Source organism: Homo sapiens, chromosome 7 (genome assembly GCF_000001405.40).
Source record: "Homo sapiens chromosome 7, GRCh38.p14 Primary Assembly".
In the NCBI taxonomy this organism is placed as follows: Eukaryota; Metazoa; Chordata; class Mammalia; order Primates; family Hominidae; genus Homo; species Homo sapiens.
The window spans coordinates 76495040-76507540 of record NC_000007.14 but is presented as its reverse complement, the minus strand read 5'-3'; the positions used below and the strand labels follow the sequence as shown (position 1 = coordinate 76507540).

The 12501-nt window shown below is 60.6% G+C and overlaps 1 protein-coding gene across 20 annotated transcripts in view; it reads right to left on the bottom strand.

The window, feature by feature from the left end:
* Positions 1–1549: 1549 nt before the first annotated feature.
* The window catches only part of DTX2 (deltex E3 ubiquitin ligase 2), a 44283-nt gene continuing 33331 nt past the window's right edge, over positions 1550–12501 (bottom strand). For 13 of the 20 annotated variants that reach the window (XM_047419856.1, XM_047419854.1, XM_047419855.1 and 10 more), the window contains 6 exons: positions 10064–10204; positions 7021–7100; positions 5085–5243; positions 3954–4115; positions 3096–3185; positions 1550–2167 (listed from right to left, as the gene is read on the bottom strand). In XM_047419856.1, the coding sequence (XP_047275812.1) occupies positions 1940–2167; positions 3096–3185; positions 3954–4115; positions 5085–5243; positions 7021–7100; positions 10064–10204 (860 nt within the window). In that variant the 3' untranslated portion in view covers positions 1550–1939. Of the gene's footprint in view, positions 2168–3095; positions 3186–3953; positions 4116–5084; positions 5244–5306; positions 5337–7020; positions 7101–10063; positions 10205–12501 lie in introns of those variants that run through there. The other 7 variants (XM_047419858.1, XM_017011726.3, XM_047419859.1 and 4 more) reach the window with 4 other exon arrangements.

Sequence of the window (12501 nt, the reverse complement as noted above, 5' to 3'; positions counted from 1 at the left end):
ACCACCATGCCCAGCTAATTTTTGTATTTTTAGTAGAGGGGGTTTCACCACGTTGGCCAGGCTGGTCTCGAACTCCTGACCTTGTGATCCTCCCGCCTCAGCCTCCCAAAGTGCTGGGATGACAGGCCTGAGCCACTGTACCCGGCCAACACTGGGGTCTTCTAGAGAGACCTCACTACCCTTTTTACCCTGGACCAACTTACCATTAGGCACAGTGCCCTGGGCCCACACTATAAGAGCTGACATACATTTTTAATTTCTTTTAAAATCAGAAGGGAAAAAAATGAACCTTTAGGTGAGAGAAAATCCTCTAGTATACATTAATATATTCATCTTTATACCAACATGTTGTAAAATAGGTTTAACAGAGAAAGGGGCTCACCAAGGCCAAAGTGCCTCTGCTTTCCACAGCCATGAATGAGGTGGCCCTACCGTCCCCCTCTGGTCCCAGGCCCAAACTACTCCTCCCGGACAAGCAGCAAGATCTTGACTGGGGATATCTGATCCTCCTTCCAAGAGGAGGAAGAATTAGAACTTTGAGAATGGTGTCAGATCAACCCTGGCCTGGATTCCACCTACCTAGCCAAGCATTCAATCTGTCTCTTTTTATTATGATTTTACAGATGGGATCTTGCTCTGTTGCCCAGGCTGGAGTGCAGTGGTGCAATCATAGCTCACTGCAGCCTTGAGCTCCTGGGCTCAAGCGATCCTCCCGCCTCAGCCTCCCGACCGCTGGGACTACAGACAGGTGCCACCATGCCTGGCTTATTTATTTATTTTTTTGAGACGGAATCTCGCTCTGTGGCTCAGGCTGGAGTGCAGTGGCACGACCTTGGCTCACTGCAACCTCCACCTCCCAGGTTCGAATGATTCTCCTGCCTCAGCCTTCTGAGTAGCTGGGATTACAGCTGCATGCCACCACGCCTGGCTAATTTTCGTATTTTCAGTAGAGACGATGTTTTGCCATGTTGGCCAAGCTGGTCTCAAATTCCTGACCTCAGGTGATCCACCTGTCTCAGCCTCCCAAAAGTGCTAGGATTAGAGGCGTGAGCCACTGCACCTGGCCTAATTTTTTTTTTAGAGATGAGGTCTTGCAATTTTGCTCAGGCTGGTCTCAAATGTCTGGACTACAGTGAGCCTCCTGTCTCGACCTTCTGAGCAGCTGGGATAACAGGCATGCGTCACCATGCCTGGTTCAAGTCATTGCACCTTTGAACCTGTTTCCACATCAGTAAAACAGAGACAGCAGCTCCAATCCTAAGTGAATGGCATTTTGTGAACCACAACCCCAGGGCCACAAAGGTGACAGCTGGTGCTCTGGGGTGACAGCCTCTGGCATGGCAGGGAGATCAGTGTAGGGCATGTGGAGGCCGCACAGCCCAGTACCGTGGGCTCCTCCATGCCTGGCTGTGGCCTGTTCTTCAGTTATCAAATGGGAGCCGATGAGCCCATGGAACCCCCTCTTGCTCTGATGCAGGAAGTGGGGGGGGGCACACACACACACAAGTGCGCACACACGCATGCATGCACACACTCAGGACCTGCTGGCTTTGGCTATAGAGCATTTATTGCAAACAAAATTGAGGTAAAAGAAGCTGACCCAGAACCCACGCCCGTCCAGGCTGGGGAAGTCTCTACTCGCCCCACACCAGGCCCCGAGCACCGCGGGCCCGAAGCAGCCCCCAGAGGACAGACGGGCCCTGCGCACTGAGGTAGCTGCATCCTAAGCCCCCATGAGTACAACTGCCCAGGGCTGCCCAATTCCCAGAGGGGAGGAGGAGAGAGAGGCAGGCAGGGGGAGCCCCGGCTTCAGGTGGGGCACACCCCACACCCTCAACAAACCTCCCAGCCTCTCGGGCTGGGCACTTCCTGCCTGGCCACCCAGCCAGCCATGGGGCAGCGGGGTGGCCACCAGAGGCGGGCGTGCTGGGGTGCGAGGTCACTGCTGCTCCAGGCAGTCCTCGGTCACCCCCTGGGCAGCCAGCTCAGCCAGCACGTTCTGCAGGTAGTTGGGGTCGGGATAGCCGTGGCCCGTAATGTTGCGGTCCATCTCTGTCTTGTGGTGGATCTCGTTCCATACCACGGTGTCCGTCTCACCCGTGGTGCTGGACGTGCCCACTGTGAAGATGAGCCGCCTCTTCCAGGCCACCTTCAGGAGCTCTAGGACCTGCCCGGGGAGGAGGAGGGGGAAGAGGAAGGAGGGGACGGAGAGTGAGAGGGGCTCAGTGAGCAGGCACGGGTTGGCACCATGTTCTTCCCATCCCAGCCCCTCCCAGGTGACTCATCCACTCCCTGGCACTCACCCCATCTGCAGGGACCCCAAAACTGCCCACTGGATAGTACATTAGGATCCCACATGAACCTGGGCTCCAGCCCACCCCGCCTCAGTGCCTGGCACTGCCATCCGTTTGGTCCTGATGCCCAGGCACCATGCTCGAGTCCTCCCTGCTTCCACAGCCGTTGCTGGACGAGCGCCCGCCCACCCACCCTCCCTGGTGGAATCCAGGCCTCCCTGCCCTCTCCCTGCCCTCTCCCCGCCTCCAGCTCCGCCACCTCAAGCCCATTCTCACACGGCCAGAGCTTTTCCAAAGCTCCATCAGCAGCTCCACCTCCGTGGCTTCGCTGGGCGCTCAGAACCAGCTCTACCCCTGGTGCTGGCCTGGGGGGCACCCTGTCTTCACACCCACACCACGGGCTCCCACTATCCTGCCTTCCTGGAAGGCTCGTCCCCAACCTTCTCTGCAGCCACAAAGTCCCTATTCATGTCTCAGTGCAGACACCACTGCTCCAGCCTTCCGTGGTCACCTGGTCTAACACAGCCCCCGGTCCCTGCCTGTCACACTCTGACTCTCAGGAGCTCCTGACCCCACCCGGCAGGGTGCTGGAAGGTGATGGCCTCTCCTCCTCCCTCGAGGCTATGTGAGGTCCAGGCTGCCCTCCCTGTACCTACAGCAGGTCCCCAGAAAAGAGCAGCAGACACTCGGCCCGGCCTCAGCCTCTGTCCTCCGCTGCAGAAGCAGAGTCCAGTGTGGCGCCTGGCCTCCTGCCGCCTGGTCAGGGCCCCGTCCACCCCCCGGGCGCATGGTGGCACTCACCTTGCGGCCCTGGGCGTTGTCTGGAAGGTAGCACTGGCGGGGAAACCCTCTGGCAGTGAACGGCTTTCCGGGATTGGGGTGCTCAGGGCCCTGCGGGAGGAACAGACACCAGGATAGGGTGCTCCGAGAGCCCGCACAGGGACAGGCCCCTGCACAGCTCCAGCTCCTCCCCCGCTCCGAGATGCCAACCCCGAATGTTCCTGAATTTCCCTCTGAGCTGTGGAGAAGTGGAGGGAAACCAGGGGAAAGGCTCATGGTTCAACAAGACAAAAAGATGCCTCCATCCACCACAGGTGGACCTTGGCTGGCAGCCAGTGCCCGCTGCCTGCTGCCCCGTTATCTTCCCACCCTGCCCCAGGCCCTACGATCCACCTTGGCTCAAGACAGGAGACCGAAAGGGCTAGGGCCCGTCTGAGTCTCCTCTGGGACTCTGGGGCCTTGTGCCTGGGCTCCTGACACCCACACGCCTGGCCCTGCCACTCCCAACCCAAGGTTCCTCGACGCACACCCTGCTGTGGCCCCGCTTCTCCAGCCCCTCCGCAGGGTTCCTCCCACTGAACTGCCTGCCCTTCTGCCCAGAACAAGTCCAGCTAAGATGGCTCCTCCTCTAGGAAGGCTTCCTTGGTTCAGGAAAGAGTGGAGGGCCAGCCTTTTGCTGCCACAGCCCTAAGAGCTTACCCTAAGCCCCGGCACTGCCTCCCCATTCCCGGCCCTCCATGGCTCTGGCCTTAGGGGACCTGGGGGCCTGAGCTTGGCCACATGGGCATCCTCAGCCTTGATCCAGGGGCAGACTGCTGGGATGTGGGCGGGGTGGGAAGAGGAGTGGCCAGGAGTGGGGGACTCAAGAAGGCCCCTCACCTGGATACCATGGGGAATGCTGTAAACTATGAGGATGGTCCCGCAGTCCTCGTGGCCGGGGAGCGACATCTGGAACCGTAATACCTCCATCTTTCCCTGGGGCTGGGTCCCCGTCTTCTCTCCATAGATGGTTTTGCAGGAGGGACACTGCAGACTTCCATCCTGACAGAGGCAGACGCAACCCACTGAGCTGGCAGTCTGAGAACACCCAAGACCGTCACCTCCACCGTCAGATGGTAAAGGGCCCCGGGAATGGGCTGGCCACCATCCCAGGGAGTTGCTGGCAGCCTCCTGCCCGGAAACTGGCTTCCAACAGCTTCCCTGGAAAGCTTTGTTTTGCACCAGCAACTCATGCCATTTTCGTTAAGGGACATGCTATCAGGAGACAGGTGGCGAGTGGGAAAACTCGGATCCTGAGCAGAAATCTCCACGGGTGAATCGCATTTGCAGTCGGATAGACAGCCTTGCAGCGTCTGATCTGCGGAGCTGGGCCCTGGCTGCCCAGGATGGCAGACACTAGGGAAGGCCGAGCCAGGCTCCGATGCGCCACATGACTCGGTTCTCTAAGCCTCTAAACTCTGCCCATCCCGCCTGAAGGCCGATGCAGGGAGAGCAGCTGGGGGTCAGTCTGGGCGCGGCTCTTCATGTGTAGGCTGCTGTGGGGCCCAGGATCAGCCCTGCCTCAAGGCCTGGCTCCCACCTCCCAGTGGGGTGACCCTGGGCACAGCCCCTGCTCTGAGCCTCTCCCTCATGAGCACTGTGCTGACTGCACAGGGATGCTGTAAGGAAGAAGGGAGACAGTGTCTGCGGTGCTTACAAGTGGCCGAGGGGGAGGCGGTGCCCTGGGGCTCAGAGAAGCCCAGAATCTTCTCAGGCCTGGCTGGAGGGGTGGAGGGAACCAGCCGCACTGGTCCTCCTTTCTAAAGTGTGGGGCAGACCTAGAAGAGTAGGGCAGGCCTAGGAGAGCCGGCCAGGCCTTTAGAAAGGTCTTCAAGCTGGCCCCACGCCCAGCACCATCTTTTGCAGAGGCCCATTCCTACAGCCACCCCCGGAACCCTCCCGCCCCTGCAGGGGACAGCTCAGGACTGTGGGGGCGGGCCACCCGCCTCCGCCCTGGGCCAGTGGGGGCACCTTATTGCCGTTGCAGTACATGGCCAGGAGGCACAGCAGGTGGAAGGCATGGCTGCACTTGGTGAGGTGGCCCACAGCTAGGGACCCGATTGCCTTGCTGTCAGTCACATCGCTGTATCCAGACGCTGTGGACAGCTTCTCCATGCAGATGATGCAGTCCTGGAGGAGACCAAACATGGGTCATGCTCGCCAACAGTGGGCTGGGCTGACGTGGGCCAGTCTTGGAAAAAGAGGCTTTCATGTGCTGAAATGCTGGAAGTGCAGTCAAAGTCAATTCCGAGGCCAGGCGCAGTGGCTCAGGCCTGTAATCCCAGCACTCTAGGAGGCCGATCACTTGAGGTCAGGAATTTGAGGCCAGCCTGGCCAACACGGGAAAACCCCATCTCTACTAAGAATACAAAAATTAGCTGGGCGTGTTGGCAGGTGCCTATAATCCCAGCTACTCGGGAGGCTGAGGCAAGAGAATCGCTTGAACTCAGGGGGCAGAGGTTGCAGAGCTGAGATTGTGCCACTGCACTCCAGCCTGGGTGACAGAGCGAGACTCCGTCTCAGAAAAAAAAAAAAAAAAGTCCATTCCACAGGCTGGAGACACAGGTGAGTCACCGGGACCTGTGCCTCTGAAGGGCTTACCAGCAGCACAGGCCCGACATGACAGCAGAAGCCACCAAATGGGGAGGACGGACAGGGCAGGATCCTGGGGGAGGCCCTCGGCGTGGGGTCTTACAAGGGAGACAGGAATTGCCAGATGGACAAGCACAGAGTGGGCACCCGGAAGAGGGAGGAGGACGTTCTGAACGAGGAGCCAGCTCATGGGCACTAAAGCTGGCAGGGGGTGGGCTGGGAGCAGGAGATGAGACAGGATCAGGGAGAGGCGCGCCCTCGGGGGTCTGGCTGCCACACTCAGGGGCTTGGGGCTGTGTGTGAGTTGGGGGTCCTGCTGGCGGTTCCAGGCAGGGAGTGCTCCCATGATCCAAGCTGCGTGCTGGCTGTGCAGACGGCAGCTTGGAGAGGAGGAGCCTGGGGTGAAACGGCCCAGTCACACCAGATGGACACCAGGGCCGAGACAGAGCTGAGCGCTGGGCAGGCGGGAATGTGGCAAGGGCTTGTGGAAGGGGTGGGACACATGAGGAGGACGTTCAGGCTCCTTTCCAAACCTTTACTTACCAGATTTTTCTCATGGACTCAACAGACTGGAGAAAGAGACAAGTGAAGAGTCCCTGGGTACTGGGGCTCCTGGCCTTCCACCCGCCCCCAAGTATCTGAAGATCTCTGGGTACTGGTACTCCCGGCCGTTCACCCACCCCCTCCCCCAACAGTATCTCCAGGGCTCCCAGCTAAAATCAGGGGAAAGTGGTGCTGCAGCCCCCAAAACGTGGCTCAGTAGAGGTTCAGGTTCTATGGAAGCGCAACAGGAGTCTGATTGGTCCTGTTCATTACAGGAGGTCAGGAGGACAGGGCTGCAGTGAGCTGTGATCACGCCACTGCACTGAGCCTGGGCGACAGTGTGCACCCGTCTTTAAGAATAAAAAAATTATAAGAACCTTGACCAGCTCTCCCAATAGCCGGGGGGCAGGACAGCCACCTGGACGAGGCCACCTCACTTCTACACCAGCATCCGCAAGGTGGAGAGTGGGGCAGGCTGGCCCATCCCTTGTCTCTGGAATTCCTGCTCCCAGGATGGCCATCAGGCTATGGAGAGGCCAGGGCCGGGAGAGGAGGGGCTTTGCTCAGGACCACAGCTCCTTAAGTGCAAAGCTCAGACCATAACGATGTGGGTCTCGGGAGGCTGGGAGATGAAACCAAAGGGGCTGGAGCAAGGCCCTGGCACCCAGAGGCACCTGGGAAGCACCCTTCAAGCAAGATGGGGCGGATGTCCTTTCCATGTGGAGTTGTTTCCAAACAGAAACAAAGGCAGCCAAGGTCCCAAGACACAAACCTCATCTGGGGGCACTTTCAGCTCTTCCGTGTAGTTTTTTATGACCTGCTCTGGCTCTGGCTCTGGCTTCGGGGTCGCTCCTAGAAGAGAGAAGTACATAAGCAGCGTCCTGAGGAGCACAGGCTGGAGAGGAGGCCAGAGGGCGAGGAAGGGAAGGAAGAGGTCTAAGCTGCCAGGAGGAAATGCGAGAGGGGCCCAGACAGGGAGGCCAGTGTGCGGGACGGGAGAGCTCAGCGCCAGGCACAGAGCCCCGAGCTCCGTCGGGCAAAGCCTTCCCCAGTCCCACCGTCCGGGGACCCGGCTCAGCCCCAGGAGCCATGGAGGATGCAGAAGAGCAGAAACAGCAGCACAGTCTCCTGGGAGCCGCATCCCCGCGCACATTGAGTGAGGAACCGACCCCGGCGCTTCTGAGGCTGCGCGGAAGAGTCAGACAGCCGCTTCGGGCACAAACTACTCCAGGGGGCGTTGTGGCACCACGATTTGATTCAACTTGCATTACCCTGGCATGAACATCACAGGGACAAGGGAGTCTGGGGTCCAGCATGTACAGGCAGCTGCACACACGCCGACCGCCACACAGACACTGTCCCGGGAAACGCCTGCCACTGACTGGGAAGGTCTGTCACATGCAGACTAGCTCCTAAGTCCAGCGACTCTGGGGAGGGGCCAAGACGTGGCAGGAGCCCACCCTGACGGCCTCACTCGCTGTCTGTGCACACGTGCACGAAGCTGGAGGGAGAAGGGCTGCATCTCCATAAACACCGAACCCCACATCCAGTAAAGCCTCTCCTACGGACAAGAAGCTCCTGAGCTGGTGAGGATCGGCGCGGCCCGGGGCGTTCTCTAGGTAGTGGGAGTAGCAGAACCACAGAAGCCAGCAGCCAAGCCCGTGCGGGGGTGAAAGAGGGACGGGGAGCCCAGTGCCACCCGTGGAGGCGCTCCTGACAGGGGCTCCACCCCAAGGTCATGGTGGGGCTGCGGTCGTCCCAGACTCCAGGACCAGAAGGGGCTCTGGTTTGAATCCAAGCTCACGGCCTTCAGGGGCTGCAGAGAATTCTAAGCCTGAGGGCTCACAACTGCACCTGCTGAACTCCCTTTACACCAAAAAGGGCCAGGGAGGGGACAGTTTGGCAGGGAGGTGGCGTGGTGGGGTGGAGGCTGGAGTCGGCACGGTTTGTTTAATTCTAGTTCTCTTGCTGTGAACGAATCATGCCACCTCTGAGCCTCGGTTCCCTGATCTCAAACGGGAAAGACGAATATGTAACCAAGCTGGAATTGCTGTGATGGCATGGCTGCTGTGACCTGGAGGGAAACTGCTGGCAAGACCACACCCCCCAACCCCCATCCACACACCCCACACCTCCACACCTCCTCACACCCTACACCTCCATACACCCCACACAGCTCCACACACCCCACACCTCCACACACCTCACACCTCCACACACCACACACAGCTCCACACACCCACCTCCACACACCTCACACCCCACCTCACACACCCCACACTTCTACACACCCTACACACCTCACCCCTCCACACACCTCACACCTCCATACACCCCACACACCCACCTCCATACACCCCACACCTCCACACACACTCCACACACACTCCACACCTCCATACACCCCACACCTCCACACACCCCACACACCCTCACCTCCACACACCCCACACACCCTCACCTCTACACACCCCACACACCCCACACCTCCACACACCCATACAGACTGCCCGAACCCAAATCCTGTCACGGTGGCGAGAACGCCAGACCAGAACGATGGCCCCCAGCTCAGGGTCGCCCTCCGTGTGGCTGGAATGCCCTACTCAGGCTGAGGGGGGCCTTTTCCTTTGGAAAAGCCTGCCAACTCCAGAGCCATCTCCGGGTGAGCCTGGGCCTCGCCTCTGCCCAGCCCTGGTGAGGCCGGGCACAGCATCCCACCCCCGCCCACCCACCCCAGCCCTTGCAGCTTTTCAGAGCAGAAGGGAGCTTTCCATTAGCCACGTGTCTCAGAAGGGGCCAGCCAGGCGACCCACCAAGAGCGTGTCCTTCCCAGGTAAACCCGAGTGCCACAGAAGGTTGCCAGCCCGGGCTGCCAACGAGTCTGGCTCCTCCCCCAGGGCAGGGGAAGGGCAGGGCGTGCAGAGCCCTGGGCTGGGGGCAGGAGCTCGAGGCCCACCCCTCCCTGAGCCCACCTCCTCGCCTGTGGGCTGGAGGTCGGACACGATCGGAAGCCACCCTTGCCGCATGCCAGGCGCTTCGAGTATTTCCTAGACCTCGCCAAGCCCCTCTGCTAAGCGGAGGCTCCGAGAGGACCTGCTGAGATGACACAGACACTGAGGGCCAGCAGGGCCACGGCCACCCTCCCTGCCCGCCACCACGCCCACTCAAGAGCGTCTGGACTGGCCACAGTCCACACTTCCACAGCCCAGGGGTGGAAGCAGGGCCAGCACCCGCTTGGGAAAGGTTCAGAACTTGACCATCACAGGCTGCTCCGAGCAGGTCTTGCTGTAACTCCCTGGACCTGCTGTGGTCCTAAAGCCCCTTCTTCTGTGGCCATGCAACGAGCAGGGCAGGGGTCACCGAGGGACCCCTCTCAAGCAGCCCACGTGGCGGCCACACAGGGCTGGGGGTCAGGGCAGCAGACCTGGGCAGCAGACCTGGGCCGCTGTCTGGGGGCCTTTCCCGAGACACGTGCTGGCCCTGGCGGAAGGGACGGTTGTCCCCGCATCCTGAGCCGGGCGCCGCCTCTCACCCACAACTTGTTGCTTACAAAAATCACAAAGTCCTCAAGAACAAGCCCCCTCATGCCAGCTGTGACTGGAGGAGAGGAGCTGAACTCTGGGGCTGCGGTGGAAAGTCAGCTTCCAGGGGCCGCCTCTGCTGCCGAGCGGGGGCAGGGAGAAGGGCCACTGAGCCCCTTCCCCCAGGAGTCAGGGAGCAGAGAGAAGGAAGAGGGTCTGTGCAGAAGAGTCAGAGGCAGCGAGGCCGGAAGGAGGCTTAGCAAAGGCCAGAGAGCTTTTGGGAACAAGAACTACCTTTCACGGACATTTTCCTCAATCTCTTAACTGAGCCGTGACTTTTGGAAGCCAGACGGGAGGCGGGAGGGCTGGTGGGCTGGGGTGCGCGGCTAAGACACACAGGGAGTCCAATGGCTGACATCAGAACACTCGTCATGCCTGCACGGGTGTGAGAGCAGACACGCAGAGAGGGAGAGACATTAGAAGACTCCTTCGGCATGTGACGCCAACAAACCCTGCTCAGGCCAAGGATGTGACACCATCAATGGCCACGGGGACGCACAGGTCTCCCTGGGGACTACCCAGGCCAGGAATCAGAGGGTGGGGCAGCCTGGCTCATGGTAGCCCTGGCCCCAGAGCCCACAGGTTTCTATAGGAGCAACAGACAAGCCCGTGCCCTCAGTGTGCAGGTGGGCACCGGGGCAGGACCCGTGACTTCAGGAGAGCAGAGGGCGGAGGACGCCACTCCAGGAAGCCGCCCGGGGCACGGGGTCTCCTGGGTGGGGCTGGCTCCAAGGGCTCAGCTTCCCCAGGAGGCCCTGGGCCCTCCTGGCTTGGAGTTACTAGGCCTCCAGCCTCCACTGGGTGCTGTGTGTGCTCCATGCCCCTCCTGGCTGATCTGGGTGCCAGGGCCTTCAGCGACAGCGCTGGGGTAGGCGGGCAGGAACGTGGCCCCTGGGCCTGCTCCCACACTGCAGCATCCCCATACTGTGAGGGCTGGGCTGCAGCAAGGCCCCAGGCTGTGGCTCTGGCGCCCTCGGGCAAGGGTGGGCCTGTGGCCAGCAGCTATGCTGGGACAGACCGGCCACTCTTTCCAGAGCTCACCACTGCCGGATGCCTGCAGGGAACCCCACACTTGCCCTGGGGGACTCTCCTCTGACACTGCTTCCTTCGTGCTCCCTGATGACCCAGCGCTTCCTGGGACACAGCGTGTCCTGCTGGACGAACCCGTTCCTGCCACACCCTCGGCCTACCCCACTTTCCATAGTGCCAGCTCCCCGGTCCTCCCTGTCATCGGTCAGTTAGGTCAAAAGCACCTCCTCTCCAGAGAAAGGGGAAGCCTAGAGCTTCTTAGCCATCTCTTAAGGTGGCTTCCAGGGTCTGCAGAACCTGGCTCAGGAGCTGGGCACAGCCGGCTGCCGGGGGAGTTGGTAGAAATCCCAGTCCTCCTGGACCCCACTCCCCATCCAGGAACAGATGGCGTGACTCAGGGGTGAAGGGCGGCCAGGCCAGCCACTGCGCCCCCACTAGAAGAACAAAGCTTCTCAACCCGGCACATGTGCCTGGCTGTGGGGACAGAAGCGGAGACCAGCCACCAGCCTGGGCAGCAGAGCCGAGGTGGGCAGGGTGAGTTGCAGTGGCCCTCAGCAGGAGACACCAAAGCGTGCATCAGAGGACAGAGGTTTGAGCCCGGGAGCTCAATGCCCCCAACATCCCAAGCTTGTTCCTGGGCTCAAATGCGGTTCCTGTGGGAACTGAATGTCGGGTGGAGAGAAGGACAAGCGGGCGCGGGTGGCAGAGAGATGAGAGAGGACAAGGACAGGTGCAGTTTTCCTCAAGAGAATCTGGTGCCTCTGCGCTGCCCACGTCGTCTGGGAGGACCAAAGGCCAGGACACGTCTCCCTACCCAGGGTTCTCCGGCAACACTGCCTCAGCGGGCAGGCCTTCCCTGAACACTGCCTGACGGGGCCTGTCCCTCCAAGCCTCCCGCCCCACCCTGCTGGACTCCTGCTTTGCACTCCCCTCTGTTTCTATGGACTGTCTTCCCTCAGCACGAGTTCCACGAGGTCCCACCCGTAGCTGCATCTCCAGCACCCCGCTGGGGCAGTGCCTGATCCCTGGGAAGCCTGCAGCCCTCTGTGTTTGCTGAGGAATGAAGACATCCTTGGGCCACCACCAGCCCCCAGGAGGCCGCATGAGTGACACACGTGTCCTTTTCAATGCAGGACCCACTCCCCTGAATTCAAGTCACAAACACACAAGTTTCAACCCAGAAGCCTGGAGAGGAGGAGGGCTAGGGACAGCCCCCCAAACTCCTGACAGCCCCCAAAACACCTGAATAACTCGGAGGGCCACAGCCTTTTTCTCCACCCATCTGGGAGGATTCCCGCTGTCAGAGCCCTGAAGAGTGAAGCCCCCACTCACTGATTCTCACTTCCAATTTGCAGACACCCCTCCTTCTGACACCCAGGGCCAGGGCTGAGATCCAAGCCTCTCCTCTGTGCGCTCTGACCTCCCCAGCCTGGGTTCGAGCCCAGTGCCAGCCCTCACCAGCTGAGCAGTCCTGGGCAGGCTGCTGACACCCATCCCTGCCCCAGGCAGCAGTGTGAGCTGTGGATGGACCGCTGCTGTGACCAGGTGAGGGGTGGAGACCCTGGCTCCAGCCTCACAGTCCCTGCCCCCACCCGATAGAGGGACTGGGCTATGCCACAGCCAGGGGAGCTGTCACCTGGAGG